General features: G+C 40.1%; 1 protein-coding gene across 4 annotated transcripts in view, besides 1 other annotated feature; it reads right to left on the reverse strand.

The window, feature by feature from the left end:
* The window catches only part of LONRF2 (LON peptidase N-terminal domain and ring finger 2), a 50627-nt gene that overhangs the window by 14242 nt on the left and 9739 nt on the right, over positions 1 to 26646 (reverse strand). For 2 of the 4 annotated variants that reach the window (NM_198461.4, XM_047443537.1), the window contains exons 2-11: positions 22991 to 23109; positions 16805 to 16927; positions 14528 to 14671; positions 13601 to 13802; positions 13110 to 13203; positions 12720 to 12834; positions 9316 to 9437; positions 8113 to 8271; positions 4142 to 4304; positions 798 to 947 (exon numbers count right to left, since the gene is read on the reverse strand). In NM_198461.4, the coding sequence (NP_940863.3) occupies positions 798 to 947; positions 4142 to 4304; positions 8113 to 8271; positions 9316 to 9437; positions 12720 to 12834; positions 13110 to 13203; positions 13601 to 13802; positions 14528 to 14671; positions 16805 to 16927; positions 22991 to 23109 (1391 nt within the window). Of the gene's footprint in view, positions 1 to 797; positions 948 to 4141; positions 4305 to 8112; positions 8272 to 9315; positions 9438 to 12719; positions 12835 to 13109; positions 13204 to 13600; positions 13803 to 14527; positions 14672 to 16804; positions 16928 to 22990; positions 23110 to 25930; positions 25973 to 26646 lie in introns of those variants that run through there. The other 2 variants (NM_001371783.1, XM_047443538.1) reach the window with 2 other exon arrangements.
* Positions 4815 to 5455: an enhancer, noted in NCBI's record as "H3K27ac-H3K4me1 hESC enhancer chr2:100907393-100908033 (GRCh37/hg19 assembly coordinates)". NCBI's record gives its function as "activates a minimal SCP1, AML or CMV promoter by ChIP-STARR-seq in naive H9 embryonic stem cells {active_cell/tissue: H9 hESC(naive)}" and the evidence as "EXISTENCE:reporter gene assay evidence [ECO:0000049][PMID:30033119]".

Genomic DNA, 26646 nt, shown 5'->3' on the forward strand with positions numbered 1-26646 from the left:
GAAAAAAAAAGAATTCAGGCAGGGGGTAAAAGATAGAAGCTCCAAGAGACAGAAAAAAAAAGTTAAAATGGATGGGAAAAGACCTTTCACATCACCCTAAACCAGCTGAGAGCCAATCCCCCTCCCCTACTGTCTTTGACAGCTGAGCATCCATGTACAGGTGGGAGGTATACACTCTCAGGCACAATCTTAAACCAGCCCAGCCTGGCTCTCCCATCTAATGCAGAGGAGAGGCCCACCTGAGCTTAGAAATGCTCCACAAACCTAAGCTCATTCATTGCTTAAAGAACCAGCTTCACCAAAAGTACTTGTAGGGAGCACCAGAGAAAGCCCATGACAGCTGGGCAGCAGGGTACTTAGAGGACAAGGAAGTCACGCTACTAATGTCACAAGAATGATGGGATTTTTCTCTTCACTTATTCAACATCTCTATACCAGGTGCAAGGCAATGCTATGCGCCAAACGTGGAATGTTCATGCCAATACAATAAAGTTACTACTTAAATTTTAAGATGTGAGTGAAAGAAGCAAAAGGCTACAAAAGCTGACAGCCAAGCAGAATAAACTGATTGTTGTTAGAAAAGAAATTATGTTCTGTTAGAGAGCCTTTGTTGTTTTGCTTCACAAGTCATGTGCTACCACAGTAGGTGCTCCTTTGGGCTGTTAGTAGATGAACTGGTTCATAAGCAACCACATTGGGGTAACCAGCATCATACTGCCAAGCTCTCCACCAGAATGATGGCTCAGCACACTACAGCAGGAAGTAACAGAATTATAAAGGAAAAAGGGAGGGCATACCTGAGGCTCAGGTTCTCTGTCTGGCATTACCCCAAAATGACTTAAAATTTGTTCTTTCATGCGATCCTGGAGAGACGCGAACCAGGAAACAGACTGTTGATGCACAGAATCGTGGAGAGCGGCAAGTTCTTCATACTCTGGACCCTCCACCTGATCAGGGAAAGAGGCACAGCTGTGTGAACCATTCACAGTAATGCACGTAACACAGTCAGCGACCTCTGCACCTCCACTAAGTGGATTTGTGGCAGTTAGCATTTTAATAATTCATCAGTTTCACAAAAATGGTACATGCTCAATATAGAAATCTGCATTTTTTGCATAGTTGAAATCTATCAATTGTATCCTGATTTTTCTCTTAATACCATAATATAAGCACATTTCCTGTAATTTTGAATAATGTTCAATGGCTGCATGCAATTATATATTTGAGATACATGCCAATTTACTTAACTATTCACGTAAGTTATTTAGAATATTCTAGCTTTTTTATTTTTAAAAATAACACAATAATATAAACATTTATGGAAAAGTTGTTTTGTTTTGTTTTGCTTTTTTGACAAGGGAGGGAGGTATGGTTTCCTCAGTGTAGTTTCCTAGAGACCTTGACAGAATTACCAAGTCAAAGGGTGACATTTTAAAAATTGTATTCCATATCACCAAACTATATTCCTAAAGGCACGACAGGGCAAGACTACACTCATTACATTGGCCTGGGCTGATGGACTCCAGCTTGTGGTCGGCCACAGCACCTTAGACTGACCAAGCTTGGCCTCTGGTCCCTATGTCACTATCACATCTGTCATTTAAATTACGCCTCAGTCCTGTTCAGGAACACCTGGTAGAGGAGGAAGAGCATGGGACTGGGAATCACGGGGCCAGGGTTTGGTCTGGCTTCATCACCAACTCTCATGTGTGAATCTAGCCAGTCTCACAGCCTCGTTAGGGCAGAGTTTTCTCATCTGCATAATAGGAATAAACCATGAAGGTCCTTTCCTGTTACAAAATTCCAGTACCTACAAAAACTACGGTGTGCTGAGAAATTATAATATAATGCATATACCACCCTCAATTTGATTTATACAAATCAAATATTCATATGTGATAGAGGATTTTCTTATAAAAATAAGCTAAAATTATTTCATGTTGTAGCTATTTAAGCCCCCATTTAAAATAAGCGCATACACTATTAAAAGCTGTCATCTACAACAACGGTCAATAAACCCTGCCGTCAGGTCTATCCATCCCACAGAGAGACCCTGAGAATTATCACTTTCAGCTGTAGCTTTGAAACCCAGCTTTCTGGTCCAGCCTGGGAGCTGGGCTCCCTGCTCTGCTCCCATGCACTGGGATGACCAGAAACAGCAGCTGGAGGAGGCACAGAGACAGTGTCCTGGGTGTGACTCCATTCACAAATCCTAAGTGTACACCACTGCCCCCAAAATGACTTCCAGTGTGATGTGGGGTGGCTACGTACCCTCACTTCCACAATTCCAAATGTCAACCAAAGAATTTAAAAGAGGGATACAATAATTCCAAGGATTTCCTCCTTTTAAGTATTTTAAAATTTCTTGCTGCAGTATAATTTACAGACCAAAAAGTGCATAGATCTTGTTGAGCTCAAAGAGTTTTCTCAACTGTATACACCAGTCTGACCATCACCCAAAACCAGATAGACATTTCCACTACTTAGAAAGATTCTTCACCACTCCCTCCAGTCAATTACAAAGCCAACCCCACAAGCCTTTTCTGACTTCTGTCCCCAGACTCTAGTTTTGCCTGTTCCTGGAAGTATACAGATGAAGCCACGCGGTATGTGTTCGTCCTGTGTCTGGCTTCTCTCACTTAGCATAATGTCTGTGAGAGTCATCCATATTGTTTCATGCACGAGTGGTTCATTTCTTTTTATTGACAGGTAGTATTCCATTGCATGAATGGACCACAATGTGTTTACTGACTCAAGTGTGATCAGCACCTGGGCTGTTCCTGGTTTGGGGCTATAATGGAGTAAGACTGTTATGGACATCCTTGTGTAAGTCTGTTGGAGAATCTCTCAAAACATTTTGCTAATTTGTCAAATTATATGTCCTGATATTTCTATTAGACACATGAAAAAATTCTTAAGGGTTAATAAATTCAAGTCTTTTATATTTAGCTTTGGGAGGTATTTTTTAAGTTGTAGATTTTGTCACATTCTGAATTAATACCAACCTAGAGAACAGGGACTGACAGACTGCTGTTCATGAGTCAAACCGTGCTCACCACCATGTTTCCGGAAGTCACATTTAACGGAAACCAGTCATGCTCATGCCTTTACACATTGTCTATGGCTGCTTTTGCACTACAAGGGCAGAACTGGGTAGCTTCGACAGAGACCACATGGCCTCTGGAGTCTAAAGTACTTATTAGCCGGCCCTTTACAGAAAAAGTTTGCCAGCTCCAGGGCTACAGCATCAAATACAAATCAAAAGCCTATTTTGCAATGCGCAGGTTTACATGTTGCATAAGTACAATAAGGTCTTTTTTTTTTTTTTTTTTTTTTTGAGATGGAGTCTTGCTCTGTCGCCCAGGCTGGAGTGCAGTGGCACGATCTCAGCTCACTGCAACCTTCAGCTCCCAGGTTCAAGCAATTCTCCTGCCTCAGCCTCCCAAGTAGCTGGGACTACAGGTGCCCGCCACCACACATGGTTAATTTTTTTATATTTTTAATAGAGCCAGGGTTTCACCGTATTAGCCAGGATGGTCTCAATCTCCTGACCTCGTGACCTGCCCACCTTGGCCTCCCAAAGTGCTGGGATTACAGGCGTGAGCCACCATGCCTGGCCAGATCATTTTTTTAAAAGGAGATTTCTGTACCAGCTCCCAACTCAGGTAAAAATCCACTGAGAAAATAAATAACTGCTGAAGGCAGGGGCTCATGCCTGTAGTCACAGCACTTTGGGGCTACTACACTTTGGTTGAGGTGGGAGGACTGCTTGAGCCCAGGAGTTTGAGACCAGCCTGGGAAACACAGGGAGACTCTGTTTCAACGACAAACAAAATTTAAATTAGCCATGTGTGGTGGTGTGCACCTACAGTCCCAGCTACTCGGGAGGCTAAAGCAGGAGGATCGTTTGAGCCTGGGAGGTCAAGGCTGCAGTGGGCCAAGATCATGCTGCTGCACTCTAGCCTGCACGACAGAACAAGACCTTGACTCAAAAATAAACAAATAGATAAATAAATAACTTAAGTGATGAATTAAGGACTTAAGTAATATTGTCAGTACAAGTTTGACAAAGCTTTTCCACAATGCAAAGGGAAGCGAGAGGACCGACTGCTATAAAATACACCAGTATGATAAGCCTTACCTTTTCATCTTCAAGATATTCAATGTCCGCTGTGTTATAGCCATCTCTGTGGCGGTGGCTTAGCACTCGGAACCGACTGATGCCAATCGCGTCTACAACAGAACTTCCATCAGGAAACGTTCTCACGTCCTTAATCTCCAGCATGCATCCATACTCTGAAAGCCTGAAAAGACAGTTAGGAGAAATGACTGTGATTTTTAAAATGCAGGGGGCCTTCTTTTTCCCTGGATGAGAGTTTACTTTTAAAAGGAATACAAAGCCACACAAAACAGTGTCTCCACATCAGACCAGCAAGGTTATTGTCGCTAAGAGACACGTGCACATGGTCGCTTCTGTTAGATGTTAAATATAGTGGTGATGGTGGCTGCAGGGGAAGGGCTCCAGGTGAGACAGGACTTGTGCCTTAGCGGTTCCAACGGGCTAGTGTTTTGGGAAGGACCCGAGAGATGGGAAGAGATGAAATCTCAAATGTGGCTCCTCAGCCACCTTGGCGGGGCACCATCAGGACTGCCCAGCTGGTGCCACGCACACACTCGGCTTTCCAAAGCTCTCCCCAGCTCTTACCCACACTCCGATTGTAACTATCACCCTTATCCTAGTGATATTCTCATGCTACCACGTGCCAAGCAACACACGGAGCAGTTTATAATACATATGAATTCAAGCCCACACTTAAAATTTGATTCATCAAAAGTCAACAAAGTGAAAAAACAAGCTATGAGTTCCATGTGCACTGAGAATATAGAACACTAAAAAGAATGTGAAAAACGACAAGGAAAACCAGATAAACCACAAAACATATGTCTCTTGAACCCACCAGAGGGTGGAGATTGCTCAGGGTAACCAAACAAAGATCCCACAGGGAGAGAGTAGGCAGAACCCAGGAAGAGACACAAAAGTGTGTAGGAAGCATTCAGCTATTTTTTTTTTAAACAAATTGCCAATGACCTTGTGTGGGCTGGCACCAGAGTGCAGGTCTGGAGAGCTGCACTCACAAAGGGAGTTTGCATCACACACAGGATCCTGTCCACAGATAAGAGCCTCCTTGATGAGTCATGCCCTGCAGTGAGGCAGGCTTGGAGGAGCTGACGTTTATCTGGAGGCCTCTGCTGGTGCTGGTTGCTGGGGCAGCAAGTCCTCCACCTTCAAAGGCACTCCGCTCCTCCTCCCTCCTGCCTTCGCCCACAAGGTCTTCACCTCATTCCAATTCTGCCAGCTCTGCCCTCCCCAACCAAAGTGCCGTGGAAAGCAGTCCCCGGCCACTGCCTTCATCTCCTTGCCTCCCCCTCACTCCTCCATATCCTACCGTTCCATTAAAATGACTCCAAAAGAAGTCAGAGATGCCCTCTGAATTGCTCAAATCACTTGACAGGCTCCTGTCTGACCTCCCTAAGGCACGGCCCTGCAGACTGTTGCTGAGCTAATGCTTCTGCTCTCCTGAACCCTCTCTAACCAGCCCGGCCCTTCACAGCCCCTACCTCTGCATGTCCCTCCTGCTCCATGCTGCCCAGGGTGGTATTCTAGGCTATGTCTATTCTCATTCCAAAGCTCTCCCCAGCTCTTACCCACACTCTGACTGTAACTATCACCCGTAACCTAGTGATGTTCTCACGCTACCACGTGCCAAGCACCACACACAGCAGTTTATAATATATACGAATTCAAGCCCACAAAACACGGAGGCTCAGAGGAATTAACTTCTCTAAGGCCACAGGGAGATTTAGAGCCAAAATGAGAACTCATGGCAGTGTGATTCTAAAGTTCTCATGGTGAGCAGCTTTACTACACGTCCCCCAAACTAAAGAGCAGCGATGATTCAAACTGCCACCTGGATGCCTCTACTTATATACTTAATAAAACTCTCTCTTCCTGGTATCTAACAGGATGATCTCATTCATAGCATGGTGAAACTGGAGGCGCCCTGAAGATTCCTCTTCAAGGGAGGACTGAATGCCCCAGCAACCAGCAGAGGCCTCCAGACAAATGTCAGCTCCTCCAAGCCTGCCTTGCTGCAGGGCATGACTCATCAAGGAGCCTCTTATCTGTGGACAGGAGCCTGTGTGTGATGCAAACTCCCTTCGTGAGTGCAGCTCTCCAGACCTGCACTCTGATGCCAGCCCACACAAGGTCATTAGCAATTTGTTTAAAAAAAGAAAAATAGCTGAATTCTTCCTACACACTTTTATGTCTCTTCCTGGGCTCTGCCTACTCTCTCCCTGTGGGATCTTGTTTGGTTACCCTGAGCAACCTTCACTCTCTGATGGCTTCAAGAAATACATGTTCTGTGGTTTATCTGTTTTTTCTTGTTTTTCTTGTTGTTTGGATGGGAATAACATTCTTTTCAGTGTTCTATATTCTCAGTGCACGTGGAACTCTTATAGCTTATTTTTTCTCTTTGCTGACTTTAATCAAATTTTCATATATTCTAATTTACTAATCTCTCCCTCTGTTATGTATTCTCAGCACCTTGTATAAAAAATCTTTCCCCACTCCTAATTATAAAGGCAGTCCCCAATATTTCCTCTTAAATGTTTTTATATTTTGTTTTTCACATTTCACATTAGGAATGCAAATGTGTTATTTTTTTATTTATGGCATAAGGTAAAGCTTTTTCCCCCCCTCTCATTTGGACCACCCACTAATTTTCTGGGCACCCTTTACTGAGTAGTTTGTCTTTTCTCATACAATTGTCTATAAATTTGGCGTCCACATATGAGTGGACCTGTTTCGGATCTCTACATTATTGTGTCACTGGTCTACTTACTAAGGCTTGTAAACTTGATATTACAGGAATGTTCTCCTGTTTGTTCAGCCAGATCTGGGCTTAGTCTTTTGCTTTTCTACACGGATTCTAAAATCAGCTTGAGCAAGTCCATGAAGAAGCTTCCTGGAGATGCTGACAGGAATTACTCTGGATTTGTGGAACTGGATAGAGATGGCATCTCTACAGCATTGAGTCTGTGCACCAACGGACATGGCATTTCTCTCCTTTGATTCAGAACTTCTTATCTTTCAATAAAATTTCAGAATTTTCTCCATAAAGGTCCTACACATATTTTAAAAAGATCTGTCCCTAGATATTTATGGTGGAAAATTCTGAGTGGCCCTAAAAATGCAGTCTCCTCTTCTTCCTGGGCACGTAGGTGGACTATATTTGCCAGGCTCCTTTGCAGCAGGTGTGAACAGGAGGCAGCCCCCTTTCTCCAGAGTCCTTTAAGAGCATGTGCACCTCCTCCATAGCTAGCACTTGAATGCAGTGACCTCATCATGACTATGTAGGGCTGACAAGGCCCTAAGGGATGGGAGGGTCCTGAGTCCCCAAATCAGTCCACAGAGGGGAATGACCTGCTGGCTTGCAACACCCTCTCTGGACAAAGACGTGAAACGAGGGGAGGTGAAAACCAAGCTTAGTGTGTTTTTGTAAGACTGAAAATGATTTGGCTGTAGAGACAGAGAAAAAGCTTTGCGCAGGATATAGACATTTTTCTTTTTAAAATGTTTTTGTAGAGATGGGGTCTCCCTATGCTGCCTAGGTTGGTCTCCAACTCCTGGGCTCAAGCGATTCTCCCACCTAAGCCTTCCAAAGTGCTGGGATTACAAGCGTGAGCCACCAAGCCCAGCCGCAATTTTCCTAGACCTCAGAAGTTGGACTAGATTTGTTTGTATATAAATGGGGATAAAGAAAATTGCAGGCAGAGGGAAGCACAGAGGTGTGGAAGCATGAGCTGTCACAAGAGAAGGGCAAGTAGCATGGCAATGGACTAGTGGGTGTGATACTTGAAAGGAAGAGGTGGGCAGTGAGGCTAGAAAGAAGGGATGGGACTGCATTGTGGGCAGCCTTGAACTTGGACTTTGTTACGTAACGGGAGCCACTGGAGGTTTTCAAGCATCAGCCTAAATCATTCTGCAAGAAAAATGACAAACGATGCCCTTCATTAGGACCCTTTGAACCAAATGCTAACAGTTCTTACCCCGCGTGCTCAGCAGATAAACACATGCCAAACCGCTTGGTGCCAGTTTCCATGCATCTTCTTATCATAAGCCGATAGCGGGGCTCAAAAACGTGGAGTGGACATGGGACCGTGGGGAAGGCCATGGCACACACAAAGATGGGGACGTCTCTGGTCAGACTGCAGAGCAAGGGGACATGTTATCTCAGATGTATGAGCTGTTAGATCAGAGGGTGGTACTGGCCACCAAAACAGCAAAAGCCAGCCAACCTCAGTTCTCCCCTCTACAAAACAAAACCCTCAGGCTAAGAGGGACAAGAAAGCCAAGGACCATAGCATGTGAAAATTCTCTGCTCACCCAGGTTTCCTGACAAATCTGTCTTATTTAACTTGAGGAAAGAGAACATGCTGAATTATATTACTTTGCTTGGAAAAGTTATACCTTTTAAGCACTCTAAAAAAATTCTGATAAAAGCAAAAACTACATAGTAGTCAAAGGCAATGAGTTTTAGAAGAGTGGAAGAGTGATAAGATCGCTACTAAAATACAAAACTTTTACCATTTTAAAAGATGAAAACTGTCAAGCCTGCTGTGATTCGCAATCCTGGGTATTAGTTCTCATTCTCTCTACTTTTTAAAACTGTGCTTCACTTTACTCCACTTTGCAGACATTACATTAAAAATTTTTTGAGGTAAAATATACGTATACAATTTGCTATTCTTAAGTGTACAGTTCATCAGTAACAAATACATTTATATTATTTGCCTTTTATTTATTTTTAATATATAAATTATTTTTAATTATTTATAATAATTTTTTAATATAGAGGTGGGGTCTTGCTATGTTGGCCAGGTTGGTTTTGAACTCCTAAGCTCAGGCAATCCTCCTGCACTGGCCTCCCAAAATGCTAGGATTACAGGCATGAGCCACTGTGCCTAGCCTTCTTTGCTTTTTAAATCCTGAAAAATTCAGTATCACTTATTTACATACAAAAAGCAACTATACAATTTTGTTAAAACACTTTAAAAATATCTTATAAAAAAAGAAAACAAATTCTTATAACTGCTTGCAATTATGTTTCCAAAAATATTTTGCAATTAACATCCTTTTCCATTTACAGACCAAGAGAGTTCTCTGCCATGAAAAGAAAATCTGAGGTGAAGCTGAAGTTGACAAAGTTCAATCTGAACTTAAGACCAAGGACACACAACATGAGCACTTACTTTGACAGTTCTGACATTTCTTCATCATAAATTCTCTTCCTATCAGACAATTCATCCGGCAAATATCGAAATATTAATTCTTCGGCCAGAACAGTTATGTTAAAGTTTCTGCTTGCCAATAACTGTAACAAAAAAAAGTCAAATGATACTGTATGGTAATTGATTCTAAAGGACGAAGCTTCCGAGTGGAAAGGTGAACAAGGAGGTGGTGGGTGGGATCTCTGAGCAGGTAAGAAGGAAAAGGGATGGAGAGAGAGGCGGGCCAGCCTGTAACAAGAGCAGGGGCAGCCCCTCCACTGTGAGAAAAGGCCAGGAGGAGGCGTTCACCTGGATGAAGGATGAGGCAACTCAATCTTGACAGCATCTACATTTTCAACCAAGTGCCATGATGTTGGTGAGAGGGGAGGAAGTGAAGTAGGGCATGTTGGGAGAGGAGAGACTTTTGCAATGATCAGCTTGGAAAGTGAAGAACTGGAACTACTAGAGAAAGAATGTAAGAATGATTACTTATGTTTTGAGTCTAAGACTTAAAATTTTTCATTTAAACTGACACCAATCTTCCCAACATTATGTTTTTTTCTAGCTTTGTTGTATTACTTAGGATGCATGCAAAAGGCAAAGGTTGACTTTTTTTGGATTGAGAAAGAGAGAGAGGGACCATGGATTAAAGCGGGATGTGAAGGGAAGGTAGGAGACTGAACAAGAAAGTGCTGGGATCGGTGGGTGGAAGGGCCACAATGTGGCTGAACTACTACTCTGCGTGTGTGTGTGTGCGCGTGTGTATGTGTGCACACAGATTAGTAGTTTGGTAGGTTGCACTGTTTTATTGCAGGCATGTATACTAGCATATAGTAGCTCTTTTCACTGACATTCTGATGCACATCAGGGACCACTGCAGGTGCTTTATTAGTCCTGAAAACAGTATAATACTATAGTTGTTCTCTCCACTGCGCTCATAAAGCTGTGATTCAGAAAGGGTAAGGGGTCAGTGCTGAGCCACCATGGCATAGCGAGGACCCCAGGCCTGGCGGGCTTCAGGGCTCTGCTCTTTCCTTGGTGGCCTGCTGCATTTCTGGGCTTGGGATGGCTCCACGTATTTCCAACACACCATGGCTGGGTGAGTCCTTCGCATACTGCCAGGTTTCCTTGTGGTTGGTGTGAAACAAACTAAATGTATTGCTGTGATTGACTGAGAACCAGGAGTTCAAACTTTGGAAACGCCTATGTTTGAGAACCACCATCACAGGGTAACTGGTAGAGAAACAGGCTATCATCTCACTCACAAAACTGCTTCATAATTGTCATTATTAATGACATAGGTATTTAATAAATGGTTTATGATGTCCTTTTATTGAAGAGTAATACAATAAAACATGCTCTACTTGGCATGATGCTAGCCAAGGGTTCTGGAGATTCATATATAATTGATGATTCAGGTCCCTGGTAGTGCATGCAAAGTCATTTATGTGCATGATGTGACTCCCGCATTGAAGAAAGACAAAACTATAATTTTGGATTTTATTTCACTTTATAGCATTCTAATTTCTGGAACATTAGGAACCCATGTATAGTTTGCATGTAATCATTCATTCATTCATTCAACAAAGACTTCTAGAGTCTCTGGTGCATGTGCTAGTCCCTGGAAATACAGGGAAAACAGGTCATAGGAAGTCTCAGTACTTAAGCAGCTTCTATTCTTTTTTTTTTTTCTTTTTGAGACAGAGTCTCGCTCTGTCGCCCGGGCTGGAGTGCAGTGGCGCAATCTTGGCTCACTGCAAGCTCCGCCTCCCGGGTTCACGCCATTCTCCTGTCTCAGCCTCCCGAGCAGCTGGGACTACAGGTGCCCGCCACCATACCTGGCTAATTTTGTTTTTGTATTTTTTTTTTAGTAGAGACGGGGTTTCACCGTGTTAGCCGGGATGGTCTCTATCTCCCGCCCTTGTGACCCACCCGCCTCAGCCTCCCAAAGTGCTGGGATTACAGGCGTGAGCCACTGCACCCGGCCAAGCAGCTTCTATTCTAGTGACGACCTCCAGCTATCACTTCTTCACTCAGCCCCCTACAAGGCAGCATCGAAACAGAAGTGAGTAAGGTCTGTGTTGTAAACAGGGCTCACACATACATGCATTTTATTCTTGTAAGAACAGATGAGCCTGTTCTGGCCCAGGCAGGCACCAAAACAAGAGGCAGTGGGTCCGATGCATCTACTAGCAAGAAGAGACAGCAAATGCCCAGAGGAAAACTGCACAGGGGCCACCAAGGAAACAGCTCTGCAGACTCAGAGCACAGTCACCACTGTGACACACAGCGCACAGCACAATAATTGATGTTCACGAGAACTCTGAAGAATTTAAAAAGATTCAGTATGCATGCAATTTAATAAAGCAAGTATGTGCATACAATGTTTTAGAAAATGTTTTCAATTGTAACTAGTTATTTTAATGTTTTGGCAGTAAATTTTAAAGGTTATAATTATTTAAAACTTCACTTAAGTATAATATCTCATCTTATCACATCAGATTTAAAAAATAAATTTTACTGTACGTTTGTAAAAAGAAAAAAAAACTTTATCCTACTTAAAATGCATTCAATAAGTTTAATCTCTGGAAAGTAATTAAGGCAAATATTATCAGTCTCATTTAATGAATGCAAAACAAAGGAAGATACTCCCCACCCCCTTAAGATGTTATATGACTTGCTCCATAGAAAGTTCATGGCACTAATAGGACCACAGCCCAATACAGCTGATATGGATTCACTATTTCAGGAATTGATCAGAAGGTCTTCAGCTTTTAAATACTCTTCATTGTATTTACCATACCTAACGTAAATGGATTTAATAGTTTATATTGGGGCTAAATATCATTAAATAGCTTCCCCATGGAACCTGGATTTAATAGTTTATATTGGGGCTAAATATCATTAAATAGCTTCCCCATGGGACCTGAATTTTACTGGTTTTGATTTCAGACCAAAGACAATAATAACTGACAACTGTAAAAGCCCTAAAGGGACTCACCTGTGGTCAGAAATGATCAAGTCTTCAATCCTACGAAAAACTCTCAAGATGAAAAAGAGAATTCCTGGAGCACATTAAGTGCACCATGACAACGTCTCAACCATTTACAATGAACGTAATGTAGGGTTCATAATGTTAGCTATTTTCAATCTATCTCAACTAAAATTTCTACCTAAAAATGTCCTTAACATTTAGCAATTTCTGTATGTCAACCTTCCTTGTGTATTTCTTGATTCATCAAAGAGATGAGAAAAGACCTATCTTTGATTGGAGAAATCTCAGTTTCTTTAACAACTGGGTGGGGGAAGCAACACGAGACAGGGAGTAAGCGTCCACCAAGGGATGAGAGGAGGAGCTGTCCCGTCATTTCCTAAAGTGTACTTACTTCCGAAAGTTTGTCTTTGCACAAAGGACAGTGTGGGGCGTGGTCAAGGCAGCGCTCAAGGCATTTTAGGCAAAATGTGTGTCCACAGGGCGTAGTGACAGGTTCAAAGAGCAATCTGGAAGAAAATATCTGTTTTCAGCCAGAAATGTCCAGGACAGACTTTCAAATCATGGACTGGTTTTTGAAGGATTCCTTATGCAATCCCCTTTCTGTTCTAGAAATCACTTGCATGCACTTTCATTTTATATCTTATTAAATCTTTAGAAAATAAATCAATTATTACTGAGCTCTCCCTAGTTTCCGTGATAATAAAAAGCCCATTACACTTTGGTATACATTTCAGAAAGGCTGCAGTTTTAAAAGAGTTGCACGGATTCTGTACCATCCTACCTCATGCAGAGGGCACACTCAAAGTCAGTTACATCAAGCGAGAGCCCCTGACTTTCTTCTGTCTCAGAGTTTGGGCTCCTTTGAAGTGAGAGATCTGAATGCGAAAAAATTTAAAACGCTGTAATTAACACCTAAGCACCTGAACAACAGCATGCAAGAAATGTATTTTCTCTGGACCAAACGTGTTGTATCAATGTAACAAATCACACTGGGCAGAAATAGTTCCTGCCCAGTTAACAGCATACAGCAATAATTTATCTGGATGGTAAGCATGAATAAAATTTTAAATTATAGCTAAATTTTCTCTGCTATTTTTGACTATGAAGTCTTTGCAGTATAAAACATCTAAAATGCTCTATAATCTTAGAGCTGATATAATCATTTCATTACTAATATTAAATGTTGTAAAAATTTAAAAAATATATTGAATACTAGTTAACATTCTATCACTTTGGAGTCACAGAACTGCCTGATGAAAACAGTTCACTGACCTTTCTTGGGAATTTTTCCAGGGGCGTTCAGGTCAGGTGCATCCTCCACGTCATCCGGAAACTGTCTCTTTAAGCCAGCGCTGGGTGCTGTTGGAAGGATGCTTTCTAACGCCTTTTTATCCTCTTCAAAGTGTAGACCCAGTATAAAATACAAAACTGAAGAATTGGTATTTCCAAGCATATCAGATTTCTCAGATGAATTCTGGTTAAGTGGGAAAAAAAGGAATCCTGAGTATTAAAGAAATCATAGCATAAGAGAAAAAGAATGCAGAAGCCTGTACTAGAAATCTTTGGAAAAAAAAAGGGGGGGGCATACACTCTTCTTCATAATTGGTTTCATCTGTTAATTTCTAAGATGAGCTTTATTCTTTTCACAGTAAAATACAGGATAATTTCTTCCTGAGCCAGGGCAAGTGAAAAGTTATCTTCATATGCAATCTGTCTGTCTGTCTATCTATCTACACACACACACACATACACATACACACGTACACACATAAAATCATATATCATATTCAAATCATCCCTTTGCTTTATTTTTTTTTAAATTACACTTTAAGTTCTAGGGTACATGTGTACAACGTGCAGGTTTGTTACATATGTATACATGTGCCATGTTGGTGTGCTGCCCCCTTTAACTTGTCCCTTTGCTTTATTTTCTCCAAGCCAAAATAACTTCAAGTCTCCTGCCGTTTGGGGTGATTTGGTGGTGTTCTAAAGCTTCTTTCAATCTTTAATCATTTTCATTACTTCCATAGACTTCATGTAAAAGTTCCAACTCCCAGGTTGAGGAGCTACAACTGGTCTTGAGAAATATGTCTAACTAACATAATGCCATAATGTGTGAATAATCTGTAAACTGTTTAAAATGAAGCCATTATGTAAAGCTTAATCAAGAGAATCCTGACAAATGCATGCACGTCATACCTCCGAGCTCCCTGCATCACCTTCTTCCAGCAGAGCCTGGGCATTCATGTGGCTGTGACCCTGAGCCTTTAATCTGCTTTGGATGGAAGATGTTAAATTTTCATGCACATTTGCTGTAGCTGAAAACAGCACTTCACACATTACCTATAAAATTGCCAAGAAAAGAAAAAATATATATTTTAAAACACTTTTGTAAAAATATAGTATGTCTTATAGATTCAGAGGAAACTAAGAGGCCAAATAAGCCTAAAATGTTGAAAAGAATAATTTTAACTGCCAACCTTTTAAAATCCAAACATTTTTGAAACCAGAGTCAATATTTTAAGTTATTTTAGCTTCCAATCCCTTTCCATCTTACACTTCCCAATGACAAAATGATAGCAATACCACTTCCTTCTACCTGGTCCTTACACACTATATAAAATCTCCCCTAAAAGCCACACAGATAAAAGAGAAAGGGAGTGTAAAGGTTGCTGGGGGCCTTGAATTAAATCTAAGCTGTGATCACCCACAGGGCTGAGGTCACTATACAGAACTGCTTTATTTATGAGAACCAGAAGACCCACCTCGTAAAGAACTTTAAAGGAAGAGAGAGGGAAAGGCCCTAATTGTGGTTCAAGAACCAGGGAATGGCATTGGTGGGGGCAGGGGAAGGGTGGTCAGCAATGGCCAGTTAGGCATTCTAGCTGACACCCAATGCTAGCAGACACTCAAATGGTCCTGTCAAACCTCATGGCTTCAGCTGCATCCAAGGCTTGAGGAAAGCAGAAAGGAGTGACTGAAACCTAAACAAAGACTCCTCCCACTCTCCACTGTTCCTCATGGTTCAAGGTGAGTGCGCTAGAATCCATGGCCTTGCAGCAATGCGCACCACCACCCTCAGCAGGGACATCAATGTCCTCAGCCCCAGCTCTGAGCAGCCTCAACAGAGCTGCTGGAGATGGAGCCACATTCCATGTGAACAGGCTAACATTGTTTTTGGTACCGTCTGTGATACAAGATATCTATCAGCCATAGAATGTCCAGGGGAAAACACCATGTCTGAAAACGCTCCAGGTAGACAACAACCCAGAAGACCTAAACCCTGGTCCAGGAACCTTGGTGAATGTGCTTCATCTCTTTGACCTTGGACTGACTTTCTCAGAAAAGTGTTATGAGAATCAGTTGAGATATGTTTTAAGATTCTTAGGAAGTTTCCGTATAGGACAAAGCAGGCAGGGATAGCTGAATAGCAGGCTGAAGATGCAATATTATTTTGACAAGTTGAAATGATGGCCAAAAACCAATGAGTGATACTGGTCAATTGAACAACTGTCAGGACAACTGAATGGGACTAACGCCAATCAATTGCACAAGAGAAGATAAAAAACAACATTGCTCTGAAGTTCTTACTTTTAAAAAAGAGGAACGAGGTATTTAAAAATAAACATGCCCCTAATGTGAACACAAGTGAAGGTAAAATTTCACCAACTGTGGCTGTCAAATGTAGATGCTAAAACACAGGGTACATTAGAACACATCCAGAAGAGGAAATCTTAGAAACGCCACTCTGTGAGAAAAGAATGTTTGGCCCACAGGGTGACATTAAGGCAAAGATAATAGCTGTTCCCAAACATCTAACGTGGTTTGAATTGTACAAGGAAGAACTGATTCATTTTCTGTTGCTCCAGAAAATAGAACTACACAGGTAAGTAAAAATTACAGGGTAAATACGTGGTAGAAGTTGACAATAAACAGTGTTAAAACAGGGAAGCGCAAACATAAAAACATAAAAACGCTGGTCATTGGAAATGCTAAGTAAATACCAGGTAACTATTGTATAAGCTTTTTAACAGGACAGATTTCCACATTCAGTGTGACTGGATGATGGGTAAAAGAGCAGGTATTTCTGCACTATGCTGGTGAACCTTTGCTGAAAATTACAGGTCACCCTATAGAGCCGAATTGATACATTTTACATATATCATAATGTCTTTTATGAAGCTTCTACACAAACTATAATAACCTTGCCTAACATGTGTCTTTATGTCAACAGAATCGAGGCATGTTTACACTGTCTCATGAAACACTCTGCTTTACCCAGGGACAAAATATAATGTTTACCTAGAAGTTATCCAATGTATGAACCTTACAATTATTGCCATGCGTTTTTTATTGCATTATCACGAACATTCAGAATTATATTTCTTGTTTATTTCACATGCAAGGGTTACTCAGCATGGACATGAAGGCTATAAATAAGACCTGATAGAGAAAGTCCTTTAACAGAACTCATACCTTCTGTGCTTCTTTCTTCACAGAGTTACATTCAGGATTCAGAGCAAGGCAGTAGAGAAATTCCTTTAACACTTCCTTACTTCTTCCCAATCCAGAAAGAGCCTGAGCTTTTACTTGATGTCCCTAGATTCACCGAAGACAAAGTGTACATTTTTAAAACCCAGCATGATTATATACTTGAATACAAACTTCCCTGAACAAATTTATTAGAACAATTTGTTTTAATTTCACATTACATAGAATAAACAAAGCCCATCAAAGGATGACTCTATCGCTACTTTCTCTACCCTGGAAACTTAGCAAACTTCAATAGCTCATAAATACAATCTACAGTCAGAACACAGGAGCTACCGTACCTGAAATGTTCTGCTCAAAGGAGTTCTAAGGGACGTGCTAAGAGAAAACTGGCTATCCACTTTAAATTCATTCAGCAGTTACAGGTCATTACCATCTTCCTGGCTTCCAGGAGTTTACAGTCTCATGAGCTAAGACAGACACGACTAAAAACAATTACAATACAAATCATAATATACTAAGTGCCACAATAAAAGTAAACAAAATACAATATGGATCAGTAATTTCCCATGGCATTTTCTTTTCATCTTATGAATGCAGTATTTTCTCAAATCTATAAAAACACTATTTTTGTTTCTTTTTTTACTGGTTTACATATAGTTGAAAGACTTTCTCTTAGCACTTGAAATATGTTGTTCCAATGTCAACCAGCTTCCACAGTTTCAGATGAGATGACAACCATAAATATTATTTCCCTGTATGTCATTTTTCTCATTCTCATTCCATGTCATTTTTCTTTACTGCTTTCAAGACTTTCCTTTTATCTTTGGTTTACAGCCTAGCCATTTGATTATGACTTGAGTTTATCATTGCTTATAAGTTGAGTTAACCTTCTTGGATCTGAAATTAATGTTTCCCACTAAATTTGGAAACTTTTTACCCATTATTTCTTCTTTTTTTTTCTTGCCAAACATTTTCTGTCTTCTTCTGAGATTCCAATTGCACATACGTTGTACCACTTCATATTGTCCCACAAGTTTCCAAGATTCTTTTTGTTTTTCTTTAATCTTTTTTCTTTCTGTTTTTTGCATTGAATAATTTCTCTTCCTATAGATCTATCTTCAATTTCACTGATTATTTTGCCATGTATAATGTGTTATTAACCCTACCTAGAAATTTTAAATTTCAGCATTGATAATTTTTATCTCTAGAATTTCCTTTTTTTTTCTTTTTTAGAGACAGGGTCTCACCCTGTTGCCCAGGCTAGAACGCAATGGCATGATCACATCTCACTGTGACCCTTAACTCCTGGGTTCAAACAATCTGCCTCAGCCTCCAGAGTAGCTCAGACTACAGGCACATGCCACCCTGCCTGGCTAATTTTTTTGTAGACTTGGGGTCTCGTGATGTTTCCCAGGCTGGTCTTGAACTCCTGGCCTCAAGTGATCCTCCTGCCTCAGCCTCCCAAAGCATTGGGCATACATGCATGAACCATGAACCCAGCCAGAATTTCCATTTTTTATAGTTTCCATCTCCCTGTTGAGATTGCTCTTAAGTCAAAGGTACCATATTGTCCTTCAATTCTTTGCATGCAATTTAACTCTTTGAACTTATGCATAATAACTTCTTCAAAGTCTCTTTGTGGAAAATATAATATCTGGGCCCACTCAGAGACAATTTTAGTTGACTGTTTTTTTTTTTTTTTTGAGACAGAGTCTTGCTCGCTCGTCCAGGCTGGCGTGCAGTGGTACAATCATGGCTCATTGGAACCCCTGCCTCCCAGGTTCAAGTGATTCTCCTGCCTCAGCCTCCTGAGTAGCTGGGACTACAGGCGCCTGCCACCATGCCTGGCTAATTTTTTTTTTTTTTTTTTTTTTAGTTGAGATGGGGTTTCACCATATTGGCCAGGCTAGTCTCAAACTCCTGACCTTGTGATCCACCTGCCTTGGCCTCACCAAGTGCTGGGATTATAGGCGTGAGCCACTGCACCCAGCCTCCATGGCTCCTTTTTAAGCCTTGTGGTTCTCCCTGATGCCTATGAAATTTGGAAATAAGCCAGGATTTGGCCAGAGCTGGGAATCATCCACTCCGGGATTTCTCTGCTTTTAGGGATTCCCCTAATTTCCAGCTCTTCTGTTAGAACTCGGAACTCTGAACTCCTGGTACTTTCACGTAGTGATCCTGAGTGTTTGTCCCAGTACTGTTTTTGTGCAGCTGCAGCTGTGGAGATAGACAGAACTCAGGGACCAAAAAGACAAAACAAAAAACAAACAAACAAAAAACCCACACACAATTCTTTTCCTTTTCATGTGCAGGTTTTTTTAGAAACTCTCCTCCAGCTTCTGTTTTTGGATGTTTTATAGTGTCTTTATTTTTTTTAATACAGTTCTTATAACTGTTTTCCCCTCTGGATTCACATGACGACTTCACTCCTTCACTATTACCAGAAGTAAACCACTACCCCTGTTAATGTCATTTTAATTATTTCTGTATAAAAATTCTCCAGAACATTGGCAGCCACTGATGGGTAAATGTGAAGGTCTATTTTCAGGTCCTGTCTTACTGCACTTCTCTCTCCATTGTTTGAAATACCATGACTGTGCTGATGGTGCCCAGGTTCCATCTCCAGCACCAACATCTCTCCTCATGCTTGCTAACTGTCTATTCACACATTGCTTACCTTGCAGCCCTCTGGAAGAGCAGCCATTTCAAAAGACATGATGAGTACTTTAGACAACAAATCATCAGTTTCATCCCTGAGCTCCCTGAAGTCTCAAATACACTTCAGACAATCAGTGATTCATCTATGGGACTTTACATTGATAATAAATGTGAAGTTTTACTAATTTTCTTATTCTCCTTTCACAAAAGCAGAATCACAAAAGATTCAGCTTTTGTGGAGCCTGAATCTTACATAATTTGGAAAGTCTGTTTAAGGAAAAGTACAAAATTGTTATTATTATTATTTTTTGAGATGGAGTCTCGCTCTGTCGCCCAGGCTGGAGTGAAGTGGTGCCATCTCGGCTCACTGCAACCTCCACCTCCCAGGTTCAAGTGATTCTCCTGCCTCAGCCTCCGGAGTAGCTGGGATTATAGCTGTGCACCACCACACCTGGCTAATTTTTTCTTGGCTATTTTTTGTGTGTGTGTGTATTTTTAGTAGAGGCGGGGTTTCACCATGTTGGCCAGGCTGGTCTTGAACTCCTGACCTCAAGTGATCCTTCTGCCTCAGCCTCCCAAAGTGCTGGGATTACAGGTGTGAGCCACCACACCTGGTCAGGAAAAGTACAAAATTAAGAATACAAAGTTGCTAGGGCCCCTTTCAGGCCTTATAAAAGTCCCCAACTTTCATGTTTCAGTAGTGTCTAAATTTGCTTCGATTATCAAAAGTTCTGAGAAAATAATACTGTCTTATACGCACAAAGAACTTCACGTAAAGTTTCAAGTTTTTCATACATGTGCACAGAATCTCAATTGAGATTTGCATTTTTTATACCACAGTGTATCAGTAAATATTTATTAACTGAATTAACTGGCTTTTAAGTAATTTTAAGTCTTATAAGTTCGCTGTTTGGGTAAGATCAAACTAATCATGTGCCTATATCTATTTCTGCAAATGGGCAAATATTTTGCTGGCAATGGATTATCTCCAGTTGCTCCAAAAGCTTTGAATCATTAGCCATGATGAATATTAGCCATGCCTGGATGCTTGAAAGGGCAGTTTTGCTTGAGTGAGACACACTGCTGTAACCCACCTCCCCCCAGAATCTAGAAGTGCTTCTCAAAGTGCTTGGTTCTAAAACAGCTTCCATCTCAGCTTGATCACACTCAGCCACCTTAGTCTTCCCCTCAGTGAACTTACTTCCCATCCCCTTACCTTACCTTCCAATGGCACTTCTTCCCCAATCCTTAGTTATAATAACAAACTTAGAATATATCTTTTACTATCTTAAACTTACTTTTTTTTTTTTTTGAGGTGGAGTCTCGCTCTTTTTTTTTTTTTGAGGTGGAGTCTCGCTCTGTTGCCCAGGCTGGAGTGCAGTGGTGCTATCTCGGCTCACTGCAACCTCCGCCTCCCGGGTTGACGCCATTCTCCTGCCTCCGCCTCCCGAGTAGCTGGGACTACAGGCGCCCGCCACCATGCCCAGCTAATTTTTTGTATTTTTAGTAGACACGGGGTGTCACCGTGTTAGCCTGGATGGTCTCGATCTCCTGACCTCGTGATCCGCCCGTCTCGGCCTCCGAAAGTGCTGGGATTACAGGCGTGAGCCACCGCGCCCGGCCTAAACTTACTTATTAAACTACGTTTTGGCTGAAGCTGCTCTTCACTGGGCATCTGTCAAGAATTGAGGTCCACAGATTTGCAGTAAACCCTGCAGATATGACCACCGTCTCATACCATCTCAAACACTAAATATTCATTTGCTGCCTCCCTTGACAAGTTATAATTAGCCACGTACCTCTGTAGAAATTAAGTCTATCTTTTGTGAGAGTCACACTGTCAAGTTTTTAGCTCAAAGAATACTACGGAGAGGAATCTAGCTTCAGAGGGCAATGCAGAGCTGCTGTCAGTCAGAAATAATAGTTATAATTCATAATAACTAAGGCTTGATCATTACTGATAGAAATTAGCTCAGAAGAAGAGTGGCAGGGGAGAGGAATTGGGGCGACGTCAGCCAAAAGATACAGAATTTCAGCTGAACAGGAGAAATAAGTTCAAGAGATCTATTATGATACCATATGTTGACTACAGTTAATAACAATGTACTGTATTCTTGAAAACTGCTAGGAGAATAGATTTTAAGTGTTCTTACCACAAAAATGGTATGTGAGGTAATGCATATGTTAATTAACTTGATTTTGCCATTTCTCATTGTATACATGTTTCAAATCTACATATTGCACCTGATAAATTATATAAATTTTTGCTTGTCAATTAAAAACATAATTTTAAAGAAGAATGGATGAAGGCATAGGAGAAAGGGCATTTGAAATTGGAGTCTAAACTTTTTTTTTAGGGAAGCAAACAAGCAACAAAATAGATTTCTGAGCTTAGTCCAACAAACATCTGCTTCCATCCTTGGGCTTATCCCTAAGTTGAACTTGACACTCAGGCTAACCTCAAAGCATTTGTTTTAAAAGATGGGAGGGAGGCCGGGCGTGGTGGCTCACGCCTGTAATCCCAGCACTTTGGGAGGCTGAGGCAGGCAGATCATGAGGTCAGGAGATCGAGACCATCCTGGCTAACACAGTGAAACCCTGTCTCTACTAAAAAATACAAAAAATTAGCTGGGTGTGGTAGCACGCACCTGTAGTCCCAGCTATGCGGGAGGCTGAGGCAGGAGAATTGCCTAGCCTAGGGGACAGAGAGACACTCCGTCTCAAAAAATAAAATAAAAAAATAAAAGATGGGAGGGAAAAAGGGCAGGCTTCCCAGTGCTTGTCTACTAACCTGGCTTAATGTCTCTTTAATGTTTATAAAACAAAGTTGATATAAAGTAATATAGCAAATATTTTTAATTATTAACTGACTAAAAGAGCATGCTATAGCTGTTAATTTCAAGTTCTTTAAAACTTTAAAATTCAAAGATTCATGAAAAGGCTTTTATTCTTTGGCTTCTTAAACTTCTTTAAGTACAACTTAAGTTATCATTATTAGATCCGCAAAGTTCGTTTTTTGTCATGAGAGAAATAGTAAACCTTTCCAAACAAAACACAGAGACTAAAATTAGTGTAAAATGTACACAAAATGTTAACTCTTTCACCAATAGCATTGATTTGTTCATATGCATATTAGGACCCAACAGCTAATCATGATCATTATGTGATCTTCCTATTTACATTATAATTTTAAATATTTTTTCTTCACTTACAACTTTATAAAATTTGATGATTTTATTTATATATTTTTTCAATGTAGAGAGCATATTATTCAGCTAAATATCTATTAAGTGTAATAGAAATTAGTGTTTCTCAGCTAAATCAGTTGGAGATTTAGTCTTTTAAATTAGGTTGCTTTAGTGTGAGGTGGATTGCTAAACGTAGGCTACAGTAATGTGAGGGAAACATACTTTGTCTATAGGTACCTGATCACAATAATCTTACTTTTGTTTTTAAGAAAATCATATAAACTTCACATTGATTATCTCCAAAGCTAACAAATACAAATACCTTAATCAAGAGAGGTTCATTCTGACAAGCTGCACTGGCATCTTGGAGAGCTTGCTCATAGTTCTTCATGGTCAAATATAACTCCGCCCGCAGCAGCAATAATGAATTATCATCAGGAGCTGAAAGACAGGAGGAATACAAATCAATAAAAATGACTGCATTTAAAAACAAGTAATCTTAATGTCATTACATATATTAAAGTGTATATATACATATGTATAAAGTATAAATACAATACAATACAAAATAAGTATAAAAACAAAATAAGAAAGAATTCCTCCCTCCAATCATATTTAGAGTTTAGTTATTTGATAAGTATATTTTAGACAGCTCCTCTCAGGAAAACAGGAAGAAGATTAACAAGACTTGAAAAAGCACCAAGAAAAACAGACTGCCACTGAGTATTCCTACACACACACGAGCTACATCATCTCCAATAATAAATTCAGCAACTGCTGAATCCTCTCACTGCTATAACTAGGTATTTTTAGAAGAGATTTAAAATAATTTTTATGAAAGTATGCAAGGAAATTCATGTTTAAGAAACAGAAAAGTAAAACATAATTTTTTTTCTTTTTTTTTCAGACATCGAGTCTCGCTCTGTCACCCAGGCTGAAGTGCAATGGCATGATCTTGGCTCACTGCAACCTCTGCCTCCTGGGTTCAAGCAATTCTCCTGCCTCAGCCTCCCCAGTAGCTGGGATTACAGGTATGTGCCACCACGCCCGGCTAATTTTTGTATCTTTAGTAGAGATGGGGTTTCACCATGTTGGCCAGGCTGGTGTCAAACTCCCGACCTCAGGTGATCCACCCACCTCGGCCTCCCAAAGTGCTGGGATTACAGGTGTGAGCCACCATGCCTGGCCCATAATTTGTTTTTCTACACAACTTGGTAGATGTTGATTTGTCCCCATAATTGTACCTACAGTATATTCTCTTAAGGAGGGAAAGGAAAAAAAAACTCCTTTCTCTGCATTCCTCAACAGCAGAGGTCCTGATAACAACTCACATGCTGCCACAGACTTAAGTCCAGCTACACAGAAGCCAAGACTGGCCTCTCTTTGAACTGACTTGCAGTCTACGAAGTATTGACTTGGCAGGGTCCCATGGAAAAGGCTGGAAGCCAGACCTCAGAAAGGCAGAACCATCACAGCCATTTTCCATACTGTGGGGCCTGGCTCACTCTACCTTTGCCCACCTACGATCCTTGTAGGAGGGCTACAGCTATGCATTTTAGTTCAACCACAAATTTTCTGAGCTCCTAAGATGTGTTCTCATCCCTCTACCTAATGTACGTTTTCAGTTTCCTCCAAAACCTTGACCTTGATTCTTTTCAAACTACCCACTTGGTGCTTTCCAAATGCCACTAGCCTCCTTTTAGTTTATGTAGGTAACTGAGCAAGCATACACCGAAGAACTTACACACAAAGATATTACATCAAGACATGGTGAAAAGTAACTACTTATAAATGTGTCATCACCACATATGTGTAATATAGAGAAAGTATAACAAGAAAAAAGTAGAAGGGGAAAGAAACAGCAAGAGTTAAACAATACAATTTTAATTATTAAGAGAGACATTGCTGGGTATGGATAACTGGCTAGAGCAGGTGGCAGAAACTTTTTTTCTGTAACAGGCCAGATAGTAACTATTTTAGGCTTTGCAGGCAAAGAGGCAAACTGAAGGATATCATATAGATACTTGCTTAACAAGAAGGAAAACAAATTTTGACAGATTTCTTATTGACGCAATTTAAAATATGGTAACAATAATTTAAGTACTTTTTTGTAATACAGATAAACTAATGAGAAGAATGGAATTCTTGTTTGGGGAATAACATTTTTCTTAAGTTTCCAAGTTAGTGTTTCCTATCATCAAAACAACTGAAAATATTCATCTGTTAATTATGATCTAACATGAGATTTTATGTATTTCATCTTTGAAAATGCACATAGTAACTGTGAAAGTGCTGGCATCAATTCATATGATTTTAAATTGAGCATTTTAATTGCTGGGAAGACATTATAGAATTCTATTAGATTCTCCTCACGGTATCTGCCTTTTTAGCATGTTATTAGATTATTTCCAACTAAAAGATTGGTGAAAATGCCTCAATCACACAGTTAAATGCATTTTGAAATATACAATTCTCCTTTGGAGATTTCCAAAAATCCAAAGGAGATTTGGGGAAAAAAATGTAATACTTACTATAATGCTGATTTTTTTCCACATCTTCCAAAGGAGATTTGGAAAAAAAAATTTTGGAAAAAAAAAATGTGCTCCTGGAAGTATAGTTTTTTAGGCTTGGGTTATGCCTGCTGCAAACCTGTGTGAGAATGGAGATCTCATATCCTGTTTCCACTTGGCTACAGTTTCTTATTAGTCCAATCTGCCAATGGATTCTCTTGAATATTTTAAACAAGAATGTCATGTGCAATTCACTCCTTTTCATTCTAGTATTTATACTCCTATTTCCTCATGCTCTCATATTGCAATAATAGTGACAGCATTTTCTCTTATTCTTGAATTTAAAAAGCATGTGTCTAATGTTTTAACATAAAATATGTTTGTTGTAAGTTTCTGAGAGAAAATATTTATCAAGTTAGGTGATTTCTCTCCCATTCCTAGTTTTCTGTAAGGACTTTATAACAAGTAGGTGTTGAATTTTATAGACTGCTTTCAGCATCTGAGAGATTACATATAGTTATCTCCTTCAACCTGATATGGTGAATTACTCTGAAAGATTTGTCTAGTACCGAATTATCCTTATGGTCCTAGTATAAGCTCTTCTTGGTCTTAACTCCTATTACACTGCTGGACTCAAAATACTAAGAAATTTAATTAGGATTTTGACATCTATATACATATGTAAGACTAGCCTACACATTTTTTTTTCTTGTGCAAGCTTTACCTGATTGTGGTGTCAAGATTATACTAACCTTATTAAATGAGATGAAAATCTTCCCACATTTTTCTATGATCTGAAATAAGATGGAAATTAGTCACTGAAAGCTGTAAGGACTTTCTTGACCTTAGCGCCTTTTCAGCAGAAGAGAATCCCTGAGGAGCATCTCAATTTTTTTGAAGGCTTTTACTTCTTCATGGATAAATATTGATAATTTGTATTTTCCTTAAAATTGTCCTTTTTATATAAGTTTTAAAATCTTTTATAAATATCCTTTTATATCCGCAATGATGCTTCTTTATTCCTTATGGTATTTATGCCTTGCTTTTTCTTGAACACATTTATCAAATATTTGTCCCTTAATGGCCTTGGCAATGAATCAGTTTCTCACCTGTTAACTAACTCAATTTTTTTCTGTTTTACTAATATCTTGTTCATTATTCCTTTGCTTATACTATCTTTGTGTTAGCTTAATTAATCCTGATAAAGTTTCTAGTGTTAAAAATACATTTCATTTACATTTATTTTTAATCATTCTTTTCTAATGAATACATTTAAGTCTCTACTCCTCACATTCTAAAGGGTGCTTTAACTGAACTCCAAATTTCATAAAATTCACTTCCCATCTACACTTGATCTTAGCCAAAAGGCCAAGAAACAATCACTTCTCATCTCGACACTGAATGAATCACTGTTTTCTTTGTTGACGTCCACCATTTGGTGATACATTTGTGAGGACAGCACTTCACA

This window comes from Homo sapiens, chromosome 2 (genome assembly GCF_000001405.40).
Source record: "Homo sapiens chromosome 2, GRCh38.p14 Primary Assembly".
Lineage (NCBI taxonomy): Eukaryota > Metazoa > Chordata > Mammalia > Primates > Hominidae > Homo > Homo sapiens.